The 15,427-nt window shown below is 40.1% G+C and overlaps 1 protein-coding gene and 1 long non-coding RNA gene across 3 annotated transcripts; one reads left to right on the forward strand and one right to left on the reverse strand.

Moving 5' to 3' along the window:
• The first annotated feature begins 321 nt into the window (after window positions 1–321).
• Window positions 322–9,870, forward strand: CTXN3 (cortexin 3). Of its 2 annotated transcripts, none has more exons than NM_001048252.3 (3): window positions 322–628; window positions 4,557–4,663; window positions 8,663–9,870. In NM_001048252.3, exon 3 carries the CDS (start codon window positions 8,762–8,764, stop codon window positions 9,005–9,007), a length of 246 nt encoding a protein of 81 aa, NP_001041717.1. In that variant the 5' UTR covers window positions 322–628; window positions 4,557–4,663; window positions 8,663–8,761; the 3' UTR covers window positions 9,008–9,870. The 2 variants fall into 2 exon arrangements, with proteins under 2 accessions (NP_001041717.1, NP_001120857.1); NM_001127385.2 differs by lacking the exon at window positions 322–628 and adding an exon at window positions 4,290–4,431.
• Window positions 2,983–15,002, reverse strand: LOC105379164 (uncharacterized). Its single transcript, XR_002956226.1, has 3 exons — window positions 14,864–15,002; window positions 3,493–3,601; window positions 2,983–3,061 (listed from the first exon to the last, which is right to left on the reverse strand). It is a non-coding gene; the product is annotated as an uncharacterized LOC105379164 (long non-coding RNA).
• Between the last annotated feature and the right edge of the window lie 425 nt (window positions 15,003–15,427).

Consider the following 15,427-nt stretch of genomic DNA (forward strand, 5'->3'; position numbering starts at 1 on the left):
CCTTTTCTCCCTCTCCCAAATGCTAAGTTGATGCCCTTCCCCAGAAGTCTTCCTGTTAATTGAGTTGGCCTGAAGGTCATCAACAATAATCAATATGAAGACTTGCTGCGACGTGCTAATTGACACTCCCAAAGAGGAATAGTGTCAACAATCAATAAAGAGGACAGAGCACTGGTAGATTTATGGCTTTGATTTTGAAAAGGTATAGGAATGCCTGTGATGTTTCCCCACCCCCCAACCCCGTACTCCTTTTGAATGTTAATGCTTTCTTGAAGATGATTTCAGACACACTGCTAGGATACTGCCTCTACTCGCTGAAGCAGAATCCTCTGAAGAGTTGCTGAGGCAGAACTGAAATCATGGCTCACCTCAAAGAAGCAGCAGTATTGGCCGTTAATGATGCCTCACACAGAAAGACGATGCTCCTTTAACTCGGGGTTTTAATGGGAAGTTTCTAAGCCTGAAACAACAGCTTTAGACCTGGGGTGTGCCATCAGCTGCCTTGCAGCTACCACTGTCTACTGCTTTCACACAGCGTGGTCGGGAAGAATGGAAACTAAAGAGGCTTGTAACTACCTGTAACTGTTCCACCAGGAAATGGATCAAGTGTTTGTTCAGCCAGAGCCAGGTACTTGACCCAACCTGTATCTTTGACGGGCTAATTAAATGCTTTTCTCTAACTTTACAATTGATGCATGAGCAATCATCGCATACATGCCTTTCGGATCATAGTTGTGAATTTAGATCTAGCTGTTAGATAAGTCTAATTAAACAATTGCTAGATAAAGTTAAGAAGCGAGGGGGTAAAATGTAATGATGCCTTTATTTTTAAAGCATGGTTAAGTTTATAATGTTATTGATACTGGATGAAGAAGTAGTAAAACAGGCTTTTTTTTCTTTCCTAAGCTGCAGTAATTTATTTCTGAAAGCTGTTTGCCCATTATCGTATTTTTTTTTTCAGTCACCTAAAACGTCCAACCTTCCAAAATGTAACAAGGATGTTCTGATTTGTTTACAAAGGATCACAACTCAACCACTCATATTGACAGCGTTGACTGTCCCTGGCTGATAAGCTGTGTGCAGCACTATCCTTTTGAGATATCAGCAAGTAGCCGTTTTCACTATGAAACACACAAAGAAAGACAAAGAAAACCAGGTGGAACAGTAGGGCTTATTATTTGAAGTTAAAAGTTCCAGTTCGTTAAGGGTGCCTTCTGATACCACCGATTCCTGACTAGGCACCCTCATGGTGTTTTCTGATGTTCTCAGCTAGGCAGTAGCCTTGCCCTGCAGTCCCTTAAAAATTCCTCAAGCAGATATTAAGAGGAAGATGAAGATGGGGAAGAAGTAAAGCTGAGATTGGGGCTGAGGCTGAAGACAAAGGTCTCCTGCTGACCCAGAGCTTAAAAGCAGCAGTGAGTTGAGAATAACAGGGTCCACTCCCAGCCCAAGCAGACGTGTCTGCAGGCTGACTTTGCAGAAACAAGCAGAGAACAGACTTCCCAGTGCAGCAGTGGGGGCTGGCAACAGTTCTGAAACTGCCTGTTGACATCTGTAGCTGAAGACATCCTCATGTTTATGAAATCATTGTTCGTAGGCTTTCTAGTAGACTTGAGTCTATGTTTTGAGAGTATAAAATATATTTACCCTTAGCCCCCCTTTGAATTTTGAAGCATCAGGGCTATTGTATTGGAACAGGAGGGCTGTACTTGGAAAAAAATATAGAGATGTTGCCGTGTATATGAGCCAAAAACAAGGGGAGTGGGAGGATTTAAAATCTATGAAACACCTAGAAAGAGCCAGGAAATCTTTACCTGAAGTTCTTTGCTGGTAAGCAAGAGGGCCATGAATTCTTTGAATTTATATGAAATATTTTGTATCTTTGTGTGTATATCCTGAATGCAAGTTACTGTTCACTAGAATAATACACAGAATTTCTAAAAGATTTGTAGGGGAATAATATTTGCTTATGTGGTGATTCTGTTGCTTAGATAACGAGGTGGCTTATACAGATGACTCACAGTTGTGGTGGGGATGGATAATAGGATCATTTGGGAGATTTACACATCTAGGGTGGGTGAGTGGGTTGGAGAATGAAATGTACTTTGAGAGACTACAGTTATACAAACAGGAATGCAGCCCAGGCTTCCTTTAGTGCTAAAAGTAGAGAGGGATTCTATTTAGGCTCAGTATCAGGATGTGTATTACTTGAATCATTCAAAGCCATGTTAACATTTCCACAGTTAACTTCAGAACTGTTGCAGAATAATGCAGCATTTTGAGTAAGTTTGTCTCTGTTGGTCACCGCAAATTCAGTCCTGCCTAGCTAGGCAATTCCGTTCCTGTTAAAGTCTAAAGATTGGTCTCGCTAGTCTGCCAGATAAATATAAATAAGGTTGATAGTATATCTTTGCAGGATAAAGTGTCCTGTCTATCACATGTGAATGGAAACTGGACAAGCCCAAGAGTGTCCTTGCTCAATGGATGGGCTGTTTTGACACCTACTTTTGAAACCACGTCAAGTCACGTAACTAGGTTTCTGATCCAGAAGTTTTAAAAATTAGGTACTGCAATTATGTGGTTTAGGAATATTTAAAATACAGACAGCATTGCTTCACTGCACCCTACAGGCCGTTAACACCTGAGGGATGACACCTTCAATTCATTCCAACGTGCCAGTGAAAAACTAGGGATCTACCATCATTTGGCGTTGGGGTGGTAGGGGGTGGTGCTACCTTTTTGGTAACGATTTTTATAATTCTGGGCAGTTTATTTATAATTTTCATACCTTAGTGTGCTTGATCACATAATAGAAATTAAAAATAAATAACATTTTGCACAAAAATGGTGTAAAAAGAAAACACTCATTCATCCCCACCTACTTATCAAATCCCCACTATGTGCCAGGCAGGACTACACAGGTACTGCAACTATTAATTAGATCATTGCACCCTATTGCAAAAGGGTGGGCTCTTGAGTTGATGACCTGTAGAATCAAGTCCCTGTGTGTGGCTCCACAGAACAAGGTGTCCAATGCACTTAAGTAATTCTGTCGCTGTCACTTAAAAAAAAAAAAGAAAAGAAACATGTCATTGCTTTAAGATACATTTTCTTCAGAGAAAGTATTTTTTCCTTACTGTGAAATTGTATAATGAGATGCTAATGAAATAAAATGTCCAAGGGATCCAAGCCTGAGAAGGGTACATGTTGACATTAATAGTTTTTGTGTAAGACATTTGGATTCAGGATATTTTAAATGGCTGCCCTTCCCCACCAAAAAGTAGATTAGGTAAGAAAGAATTGACCTCTTAAATAAAAGGGTAACTTTCAATTTCTGGCTGATTTTTATATTTCAGATTCCACCCATCAACACGGAGGCCAAGGAAAATTTAATGAGCCAAATAACTTATGGCTCTTCAAATTACAAGATCTGTGGGTTTTAAAGTGTCATTGTGACTTGAACTAGCTGTCTTTCTTTCAAACAAGACTTACTTCAAATGTGATGGTCCAGCACCTCAGTCCGGCTTGATGACTTGTGCTTTTGTTTTTCCTCTCTGCATCAGTTAGCTGGCACCTCGGGTTTTGAATTCAGTTCCCTGGACTGTAAGGGGTTGAAGATTTGATTTAACTTATATTTAAAAAGGCAATGATCCCAGAACAGCAAATAATTCCTCAAGGAGCTTATTGTGTAATAAGGAGGAGATAAACACTGTCAAGACTCGCACTGTAATCAGTGCTGCCACCGAGTACAGGTGATGTCTCTGGAGATGGAGTAAAAAACACCCCATCCTTGGTGAAGGGAAACAAAGAAGGCCCCACCGAGAAGTGGGTATTTGGTGTGAACCCTAAGGGAGGGAGAGATGGAAAGAAGGAGAGGAAAGATGCTTGCCTCATAGTGCTTGCCTCCCCTCCTCTCCACAGATGGAAAGAAGGAGAGGAGGCAAGTATTATGAGGTAGGAAACCTGGAGGTGTTAGAGCACAGCAGGTATTGGATCAAGCTGAAAAACAGACAAAATGAGGACATTCTCCACAGGTGTCCACAGACTCAGTTACACGGAAGTTTATTCTGATCAACACATTGGCCATTTTACTGAGAACTAAATGTGATTTGGTGTTGACTCCTTTCTAAACTTATAAAAATAAAACTCAGATCTTAAAAATTCCATTGTCAGCATAGGTCCTAATCTGTGGTCCGGAAAACATCTGGGCATCAGGCCCACAAGGGGGTTAATGGGCTGTGGACACTGGGGTGCAAAGGTTTTCTGAGGGGAAGAGTGGTGAGATCTGGGCTTAAAAAGATGAATCGAGATGCAGTGTGTAGGAAGCATGGGCAAGGGATGAGGAACGCCACTTTGAAAATTACTAAAACTAAAGCAAGTGACTAAGAGTGTGAATGACCCTGGCTGCAATGACTACGCCTGCTGGGCTTCGTAAGTAATTATGGGTGTCTTCTGTTTTTGTCAGTATCACAAGGGAGCTTGACTCGAGCAAGGGAATGTATTATATGACTTTTGAAAAGGGTATCTTTTAATTAAGGTTTTCTTTAATTTTTCAGTATTAAAATTAGACTCTATTTCCTGAGCACCCACAAATGGACCTGACAAAGGGAAGACACAGATGTACTGCGTGATGAGGAAAGCCTATCAGGATTAAAATATGGCTGTGAGTAACTGTGGTCCTTCTTTATACTTAAAATAGCTGCCATGTGTTATTATGAAGGCTTCTGATGGTGGTATCAAAATCCTTTGAAATAATAGACTTGCACAGATTTCCCTGGTCATCTAAAAGAAAGATGTCATTATTCAGTTAAAAGCAAACTTGCACATTTTCTAAGAATCATTTTTACCAAAAAGGGACATTTTACTGCGAGACAGACATTTAAAAATTTACATGTCTTGAGATATTTTTGTATTGTGGTAGCAAAATGATTACATTTATTTCTTTTTCTCCACCTTATAATAGCTGATGCTTCCTTCAACTTATACATGCTGTTGGAGCTTTCTAAATCGGTAAATTATTGATTAGCTGATTGCAGGTTTAAAATCAAGCAGACTCTTCCAGGGATTTCAATCAGTCCTGGGCAAAATTGTGAATTAGTCAGCATTGGTTTCTGGATCTCTTTATCCCTTTAGCAACCACCTCCTGATTGTCTCTACCCACCATCCCTCATCCCTCCCCTAGGGCTCTCCAGTGGGCCCCCTGTTCACACCACCATGCCTGTCTTCCTGTCCTGTCCAGGAGTCCCTCATTCCCAGCTAGGTCTTCCTTCAATCGCCTTTCTACTTACCACACTTTCCCCTCCTTCAGGTGGGAACGGTCCTCACAAATTCCTGCTAGCACATTAATGTGCCACTTTCCTAGGTAAAATATTGCAATTTAGTAGGAGACGTTGATACTTTGACCAAAAGCAGTTATTTTTATAGGAACTTGGGCACCACAGTGTGCTGGGAGAGGAGAGGATTACAACTCCCAATGTGCTACAGAGTTTTAAAAATTCTTTCACCTCTATTTGCTCATAATTTGGTATATCAGGAAAGGTTTGGTGATGAAGACATTGGAGTATACACATATTTATATTTTAGGAGGCTTCTCAATGCAAAGAGGGTTAACCTTTCCTTTGTACCTTGCCTTTTAATCAGTAGAGGATGGTAAAACTTCAAATTAAAACTGATTTTAAAAATCATTCTAATACTTGGCATCCTCGTGCAGAATCTGAGTCCCAGAGTCATTCCTAGGGTGACTGAAGAGGCAGATATGGCAGATAATCTGAATCAGGATGAATAAGTTATTTGCTGGAATTTCTGGAATGGTTGCCTACCACTGCAGCCCCCAAATGAATGGTTTGCTCGCTGTAAATCCTGAGTTGTGGGTGAAGCCTAGAAAGTATGAGAGTTGATCCAGGAGAGAAGGATTTGGCATTTGCCCTGTATGGAAGAGAAGGCTGGGGAAGACTACTCCTGGGGTCACAATGTTGCTCATCAAGTGGAGATCCCCGGTGGGAAGGGAGGGACTGAGCAAGGTATCACCGTCCTAGTCAGCCTGCTTGTGCTGAGGAGGTCATTCTCAAGGACTCAAAAGGTTCTCTATCTAGTTCTTACCTGAATTTTTGGATTTCACAGATCCAGAAATCCTTACATCAGTTATACAGTTAATGGTCTTTTCTCTTCTTATATTTCCTTTTTGGATTATATGGTGTTTTCCTAAAGAACTTTCTGAAAATGGCCAGGCATGGTGGCTCATGCCTGTAATCCCAGCACTTTGGGAGGCTGAGGTGGGTGGATCACCTGAGGTCAGGAGTTCAAGACCAGCCTGACCAACATGGAGAAACCCCGTCTCTACTAAAAATACAAAATTAGCTGGGCGTGGTGGTGCATGCCTGTAATCCCAGCTACTAGGGAGGCTGAGGCAGGAGAATCACTTGAACCTGGGAGGCGGAGGTTGTGGTGAGCTGAGATCGCACCATTGCACTCCACCTTGGGCAACAAGAGCGAAACTCCGTCTCAAAATAAAAAAAAAGACTTTCTGAAAATGCATACCTGTCTCGGCTTTGTTGAGAATGGACAAAGAACAGGACTCTGGCCTCATTTGGGCTGGATGGAAAAAGGGCATAGAATGAGATTCTGATAATCCTGCAAGGAGAGCAGGAATCAAAGTGAGAGGATCCTCAGTAGGATATGAAAAAGCAAGGAGTATGTCAGGGATGGCCTCAGCATCTGCTCCTCTGTCATCAGCGGGCTTTCCTTTGGCCCAGCCCTTGGAGAATTTTATATTTCATATGATTAAGTATAGTTTGAATATTTTTGGTGGACACAGATGGCCCTGGTCTGATGTGCTGAGGAGACCTGCATTGGAGGCTCTGGCCTCCCTTCCTGCCCCTCCCTTCCTGGCCCACAAGGAATTAATACCCAAGGCTAGGAGGGTGCTTAGAAACAAGCAAACCAAAACAAAACCCAGTGCATTAATATCCTCTAAATTCCTAAAGAGCTTATTTTTTTAAAATGCGGTCAAATTTTTATCCCAATCTTACTTCCAAACAAACATGAATTATAAATGAGTTTTGCAACTGTTATAGCCTTTAAAAAAATTCAAAGTGATAGAGCTGCAAAAATGATGCATTACCCGACTGGTAACTCCTTCCTCCCAGATCCTGGCTGGGATCCCCCTTATAAATTGTTTTTTAAACTGTAATTTTACAAACTTTGAAGTGTCAATATAATGCAAACTGTTATGCTATGATTACTAATGCTGTACTTGAAGGCAATGATTATAAGTTAACTGAAGGAACATTGTATTGATGCTTTAGGTCACATATTCTATTTTTATTTGGTTATTTTCATTGAGCAAAATTTATTTTGTGTCCGTGTTAATTTCCGTAGCTAATTACTGTGCTTTGTAATTTTTATTATAAATAAATTCATAATAAATATCATTTAATTTTCTATATAGTAGTAGTGTCTAATGTATATACTTTTATTTACGATGTGATTTAAGTAGATTTCGTTCAGTATCTGAAGCTTTTAACGACCTCTGTGTATACTTGTCATGTATATACTTGTATATTTATACGGTAATATACACTTGTATATTTATACAGTAATATCTACATATCTAAGTTTTTCCACCAGTAAAATTAAAATAGTGTTAGCTTGTCCTTTTCCTTCTCTTCCTCTCTACTGAATAGTCTTAAATGGTAGGAAGCCACTCTAAGGAAAACTGTCCTTTTGAAAATATGCATCGATCAATTCCTTTCTCTTGGCTTAATTCTCTAGGTGCTTCCCAGGGTCAAGTATTGAACCTGGTCTTTGTTTTCTGAGGAAAAAAGAAAAAGCAGCAGTAACTTGATAGTTTGGGAGACTGAGATACCTCCGTTCTCCCTTGGCTCAGGCAGTAGAAAGGAAAGGAGAAGCAGCATAGCTCCCTTAGTTGTGTCTTAGGTGAAGCAACACTTGGCTTTGTTTGTTTTTCTTTTTTGTATACTTTTCAAAGGGTTTTCACAGCTCTTCATCCTTATTACAGCACCATGAAAGATGCAGGCATTGCTACTTGCATTTTTACAGCTTAGTGACCTCTCCAAGGTCCCACACCCGTTTTGCAGTAGAGTGGAGCCCGGAGCCCAGAACCCAATGCTCCTGGAGAAGGTTTCTATTTTAAGCACCTTTTCTAGCCTCAGTTTCCTTGCACTGGGGCTAAAGAGATCCCTGCTTTCGTGAAGCTTGCAGTAAAGTGGCTAACATGTTTCAAGTTTAGCCACTGTGCTGACACATAGCTGAGGCTCCCTCAATGGCGCTATCGTAAGAACAATGTGAGAGTAATATTAGTGGAGCAGAGCAGGAGGAGACTTGGCAGGGGAGGCTGGGTTCAGATGTCAAGTTGACAGTACACCCTGAGGTCAATATTACTGTGCACATTTCTCATCTTCTATATTATAGTCGTATTCCCTGCCCATCCCTCCTGGCCCCAGGTGGCTCTTCTGAGAACAATCTGGTAATTTCATGCAAGAGTAAAATATCTTTCCCGATAATTATACAGAATTGAGCATCTCTGGTGAAAAAGAAAGCTGGTTTACAGATTTCTTTTTCTCTCTGAAAAATATGACTGTGAACCTAAAAAAATAAGGCTGCTATTTTATAGGTATTCCTTTCCCTTCCTTTTTCCCTGCAGATAACTCAGCCTCTCCAGAGTGCAGCCACCATGACCTCCGCAGATTGATGATGGAAGAAAAGAAAACCAGGATATCCTGTGCTCTGGCTTCCCTGGACCATGGATGGAGGACAGCCCATCCCCTCATCCCTAGTGCCCCTTGGGAACGAATCAGCAGATTCTAGCATGTCCCTGGAGCAGAAAATGACATTTGTTTTTGTGATTCTGTTGTTTATTTTCTTGGGCATTCTCATTGTCCGGTGCTTCCGGATTCTTTTGGATCCATATCGAAGCATGCCAACCTCTACCTGGGCTGATGGACTTGAAGGCCTGGAGAAAGGGCAGTTCGACCATGCCCTTGCTTAGGAGGGATGGTGTGGGATCTCCTCCTGAGGAGATGAAGTGCTTTGTGTCTTGGTGAGGATTCCCTTTATTTAGTGTTCTCAACAAATCAAATTTAAACAATATTTGGTCCCAGGACCATAATCCATTATTCCATAAATATGCAGTTGGGTTAAAGACATTTGAGGATGTTGGAAATGGACACTTATATAACTAATCCAACATAAGAAGGTTTAAATTTTTATGTTTGCTCAATGAATGAGTACTCTTAAAATTGTGTGATTGTGAAACCAAGAGCGTTAATACTGACATAGATTTGCCATCAAACAAAACACCACCTGATCTGACTAAAGAATAAAAGACTAGAAAGGATCTCATATGAATCTGGTGACAAGGCCAGGAAGAGATTTCCTTGCTCTAATTATGTCTATATTTGTTTTATTTCATGGGCACCTATCTGGGTCCTGAGCAGAATGAGGAAGATTGTGCTGAATGGACCCAAAGTAGTTTCTTGTTTTCTCCCAAAGCAGGGAGCTTTGGGAAGCAATGGAAAAGCTTAAAAGAGATGATTCTGTCCTTGGTAAATGTGAGTGAGAATAGCGTTTTGTTTTTCAAGTAAAACTTAATTCAAAGGCTACAAAGTTTTAAAAACTATTTACCAAGCCAACTACATTATATGTATTCATATTAATAACATGTGTAGAGGTAGCTATACATTACTTGAATTTACACTTTACACAAATGATTTAAAAAATAGGTTGCAAGTGCAGCTTAAAGTTTTTTTTCAATGAAAAGTTAATTGTTTAGAGGAGAAGACTTTTATAGTCTTCAGAGGAATGTGTATTTATGATTGTATATAGTCACCAAATAAAACTTTTCAAGAAACAGAAATGCTTCCTCTCTTATTTCACCAGAACTAATGCACTGAGGGTGCTACCTGGTATTAAGTGCTGAGGCTTAACATTTTTCCAAGAGAGGAGAAAAGAGTTAACAGCATGAAAGCTCATCTAATTCATCCCTCTCCCATTTCAAGAAGAGCTCCTATAAATTGTCCTGCACAGACAAAACCGATAGTTTTTAAGACCACCAAAAAGGGAGATGTGAATACCTCTTATTCCAACTTTTGTTGGAAGGAAAAGCTTGTGTCTAAACCAACCCTGCAGATAACTCAGCCTAAACCAACCCCGTTAGGCTGTATTTATAATCTATGTCTTCTAGTTTTCTCCTCAGCTAGTCATTACCTTTTTTGATTAAAAAAAGCACACTTCTTTAACCTATTAATTATAAGATTTTCTTTTTCTTTCAAATGTACTGTGTCATGTGTGTCCTCATTAATTTTTTTTTGTATTTTTGTTAGAGTCTATTCAAACCCACTCATGTATTTATGGAGCTCCTGCTTTGAGCCTGGAATTGCTAGCACTAGAAAGACAGAAAACACACAGGGCCAGTTCTTAATGTTGAATACTTTTCTATCTTGTTGGATGGAGAATACATTTAAAAAGGCATATGACTGAATCATTGTTCAAATGACTAACATGGACCTGATGGTTCCCACATCATCAGAATCAACTGGGGAGGTTAATATGTGTGCTAATTTTTATTATTTTTTTACTTTCTATTTTTTTTATTTTTTAAGAGATGGGGTCTTGCTCTTTCGCCCACTGGAGTGCAGTGGCACAATAGCTAATTTTCATTATAAAAGTTGTACATCATCATGGCAAAAAATTTATTATACAATATAGAAAAATATAAACATCACTGGTCAAAATTCTACCAGCTTAGTTCACCCTAACTCCTAACTCCAATTTTTCCTGGGTAGTTTATTGACAATGGAGATTATTACAGCCTTTCATCCCTACAGGTTGATTCTGTAGAGTTGGGTTAGTGAACAAATGCTCCAAGAGATAAAACATGAGGAAAGATGAATGTAGCCAAAATAATTAAGGAAATGTCCACGAGACAATGGCTCAGGTATAATTGTGCATGTTTAAGTGCTTGGCATAAAGTTCAATGCAATGTAAGTTATTATTATGAAATAAATTAGATCTTGACCTGAGAGGATGGAGGTAGTTTAGATATGTGCAAAGGAAAGGAAGAGGGAAAACCATAGAATAAGGAAACAGAGGTATGAGTGTGGGACCCGAAGGCAGGAGTGCAGCCTGGCTGGAGTAGAGAGTTGGAGAGGCAGCTGGAGCTCACAAGGGAAGGACAAAGGCAGAGGCTGGACCTCAGAGGATCCTAAACAGAAAAATCAAGGGTGGGAGTCACCGTAGATTCACGAAGAAAAAAATGACCTAAAGAGTGGTGTGTCAGTTCCAGCTTCCGTGCCCTTCCTCAGGGCAACACCAGGATCCACTTCTATAATGGGAACACACTGAAATAGCTACCTGCCCCCTAAGAGACCTTTGAACACAGGCATTGCCCACAAGTGCCACGGGGCCTCCCAAAGCCTGCCCTTCTTTCACTCCTCCCTTTATTTCCCACTCTATTTTTGTTTTCCCTTCTCAGATTACTGCTCCTTGTTCAACTTCCCCTCACTGGCTCTCCTGCCTCCTTCCTTGTCCAGAGCAAGAATACCATAACAAGTGAAAAAAAGCTTTGGGCTATTCACAGTAAATTGATCCCCCCTGTAAGAAGTGCTAACTCTCTTGTTTTAATTACTCTGGGCTTCTTGGAGTGAACAACTTATTCTCAAAAGGTCACATAAGCCCTCTCTTTCCTGGCTTTCTGGCTAAAGGAGTTACAGGGCAGCACTTTGCCTATCTTACAAGATATTTATAATGAGTGCAGCTGGCCTTTATGGAGTATATCTGCATCCCAGGATGGGGGGAAAAAACCCTGGACTTTCCCAAGGTCACTCTGTAGAATAGACCTGCCTTTTGATGCAGAAAAATGTGCAACCTCATTCTTAGCCTGAGCTCGGAATCACAACCCTGTGTTTTATTCCCCCAGAGATCCCAAGTTCTAGATCAACATTTCTCCCTCCAAGAGACCTTTTAAAATATTTTAAACACTGCGTAAAGCAAGTTTAACTTGGGTGCGAAGGAGCCTAATTTGACTCTGCTGTTAAATTAATAAACATTTCAAGACAGGCAATTCTTTTGCTATTATTAAGGGTTAAGGCTGAGGCAAAATAAACAATTTTAGGAGGCAAAAGTTAGATAGAGCAGATGTTTATGTATGCAGAAAAAATATGTATTCAAGTTCCTTTTTTATTGGATTCATTGCACAGTGTTTACTGAAACACTGAAGTTTTTTTTTTTGAGATGGAGTCTCACTCTGTCGCCCAGGCTGGAGTGCAGTGGCGGAATCTCGGCTCACTGCAAGCTCCACCTCCCGGGTTCACGCCATTCTCCTGCCTCAGCCTCCCGATCAGCTGGGACTACAGGCGCCCACCACCATGCCCGGCTAATTTTTTATATTTTTAGTAGAGACGAGGTTTCACCGTGTTAGCCAGGATGGTCTCGATCTCCTGACCTCATGATCCACCCACCTCAGCCTCCCAAAGTGCTGGAATTACAGGCGTGAGCCAGCACGCCCGGCCTGAAGCTTTTTATAATGTGAACATACTGATAAATTTGGTACAATGAGAAATTTCACTTGTTCACCATAAATGATTTTTTTAAAAAAAACCTTATTGTTTCAAGATGTCAACTTTCAGAATTGACATGTAAAATATATTGAAACATGGTTATTTTCAATAAATTTTCTAAGCCCAAAAACATTGAATAAAACCTAAGATATGATTTGTGAGATGTGTGTCGACCAAGAAAAATTATGTAAGATGGGTGTCTCAGTTATTGATTAATCCAAAAGTTGTAGAGTTGAGCCATGATCTCCAGAAAGTGCCCAAATGACTATATGTATGTATGCAATCCGTGATCCAACTGGCCTACTCCAGAAGAGATTTTTTTTGTTTTGTTTTGTTTTGAGATGGAAACGGGGAACCCTCTAAGCTTTGTTTGTACTTCCCGTTTCTAACAAAAATAAATGAATTATTTTCAGAGAGGGGTCTACTCTGAGGACATGAGGCCTCCCCATCTGGCATCTTGCTCTGGTCAGGTGAACCAAGCCCAGTACTTTAGCCAGTCTTTAGTCCTTTCCAAGGTCATGTTTTTAGAATAAAGTTCCCTGCTGCATTTAGTACAGTGGAAATTTTGCCTTCAGTTTCCTGCTATAAATTATACTCATGTCTTTTTCTAAAACACCACAAGATCCTCTTAGATCCCTCCATCCTACAGCCTTTCTCAATATCCTGATTGATGTTTCTCTACTTTCTGTGCTTCAGAGTAAGAGAAATTCCTTTAAACTGTCTTTTCAAAGAGATTTGCACCCTTATTCTCTTCTAGGCCCTATGACCAGCCCTAGAGCACCAAACTTATGCCAGCTTTTAAGAAAGAGGCTCTTCCTGGGTTCCTTGGAGTTTGAAAAGCTGGAAAGAAACATTGCTGTCATCTATTTCAACCTCCTCATTTTACATATAAAGAAACAGAGAAGCAGAGAGGTCATATGGCATGACCATGGCCACTTCTTCACCCACTGGTTGTAGCTGTAGCATCTTACATATGTGGTGTGCAGATGAGTTCAAACAGAAGGGCCAGTTGATAAAACCATAAATAAAAATACCCGTTTGTTAATTGACATGAAAGTTATAATAATATTAAATAGTCTATTTTGGCAGGGAGTGGGGAAGACATATTTTGTTTCTGAAAAAAGTCCTACGGATGATGTATTTTCTTTTGGAACATTCTGAAGCTTCAGTTTAAGTGTCCAGGCAACGAGAAGTATTTCCCGTTAGATTGTAGAGAATGCCTTAACAAAGATTCTGTTTCTCAAAACACGGGATAACCAATCTAGGATAAAGAATCAAAGTTTCTTTTTTTGTTTTTCTTTTTTTTTTTTTTTAAATTTCCTAGTAGACTTTTGAGCTGTTTTTCTTAGCTGAAGAAGCTCGACAAGGGAGATTACAACATAAGTTTATAAAGGCTCTGGATTCTGCTCTATCTATGGCTTATCAAAGAGTTATCTGGATCCTCTTGGGACATAGAGGTGACCTCAGAAAATATACAATTAAGTATTTCAAGTTTGAAAGTACACTTTATCCTTTTCTGTCCTATCTTTTTTCCTAGTTACTTCACTTCTATTTTTCCCTCTACTTTCCAATAACTGGAGTGCTGGAAGAAGTTTAATACAACCACTACATTCAGTGCTTCTCTGGTATATTAATATTTTCCTCAATAGTCAACAACAAGTGGCTGCCTGGTTTCTTCCTTAACATGTCTAATGTCTTAAAGTGTCCATCCTATTTTTAGCTTGTTCTGTTGTTTATAAATATCTCTTTATCAACCCCAAATTTGTCTTTCTGTAATTTTTGCCAGTGGAATCTTGTTTTGTCTTCTGGAGTGACAGAGATTTCTAATACTTGTTAACATGACAACTCTCAAGATATAGTTATTGTTGAAAGTCACACTCCATGGATCATTGCTGTTTCCGCATGTCTTTACAGCAGAGGCAGTGACAATATTTTGTTCTTTTCAAAGAGATTTGTTTAGAGATCGTATCTCCCTTTCCCTAAAAAAATGGCTGGGCAGGTTTGCTTGCAGCCCATTATGAAAGACTGGGTTTTCCTAAGCTCAGAGTTCCCCTCCTGTAATGCAGCCCATTGTGTGTGCAAGCACCATCTGGCTTTTTTTGTGTTGCCCTGTGGGAACTGGAGCTTAAGGAATTGGCACAGGAAAATGCTGATACTCAGTGTTGTGATTGCTGTAAATGATAAACTGTCCTTTGCCTCTGACCCAGAGGTCTTGTGTCTTCTGCCGGCATCCATGAAACTGTGGCAAACTAGTTATCCTGTAAGTAGGGTAAAATCTCAGATCCTACCTTGTTCTTGATGGTTATCATATTCCCCCAGGATAAACAATTCCAGCAACTTCAACCACCCTATATAATTTTCAGGTGCTTTGAATTATCTCTTATCCTTATCAAAAATTCTGGATGCTCTTCAGTTTGACCATCTCCTTGGTACCTAGAAAGGAAAATAATAGTTCATAGGTAGTCTGACTAAAATGAGGGGAATCAAATTATCACTTACTTTGTTTTGAAAACCGCATGACGTTTTATACCTGACTCCCTCATTATCGTATTCATTGCAGTCTCCATCTTTGTATCACCTGTAAATTGGCTCAGCAAGCCTTCTATTTATTTATCCACATTAATGATAAAATTTTGAACATATCTGAGCCAGAGAGAGAGAGAGTCCTGGGCCTTGCCACAGAGATCTCAATGCACATAAGAAGTCAATTGGCAGCAGTAATTGTAAGCAACTGCTCCCATGGAAAGCTCCATGGAGCACGTCCATGGAGATGTTCAAGGACGGCGAGCATATGAAGCATGATGACTTATACAAGTCATGCAGTGAAGCTTCAAAAGGAAACCACCAAAGTG

Source organism: Homo sapiens, chromosome 5, assembly GCF_000001405.40.
Source record: "Homo sapiens chromosome 5, GRCh38.p14 Primary Assembly".
Lineage (NCBI taxonomy): Eukaryota > Metazoa > Chordata > Mammalia > Primates > Hominidae > Homo > Homo sapiens.

Bases quoted from the DNA above. Each gene is read 5' to 3' on its own strand.
- CTXN3 (NM_001048252.3), top strand. From the start codon at position 8,762: ATGGATGGAGGACAGCCCATCCCCTCATCCCTAGTGCCCCTTGGGAAC.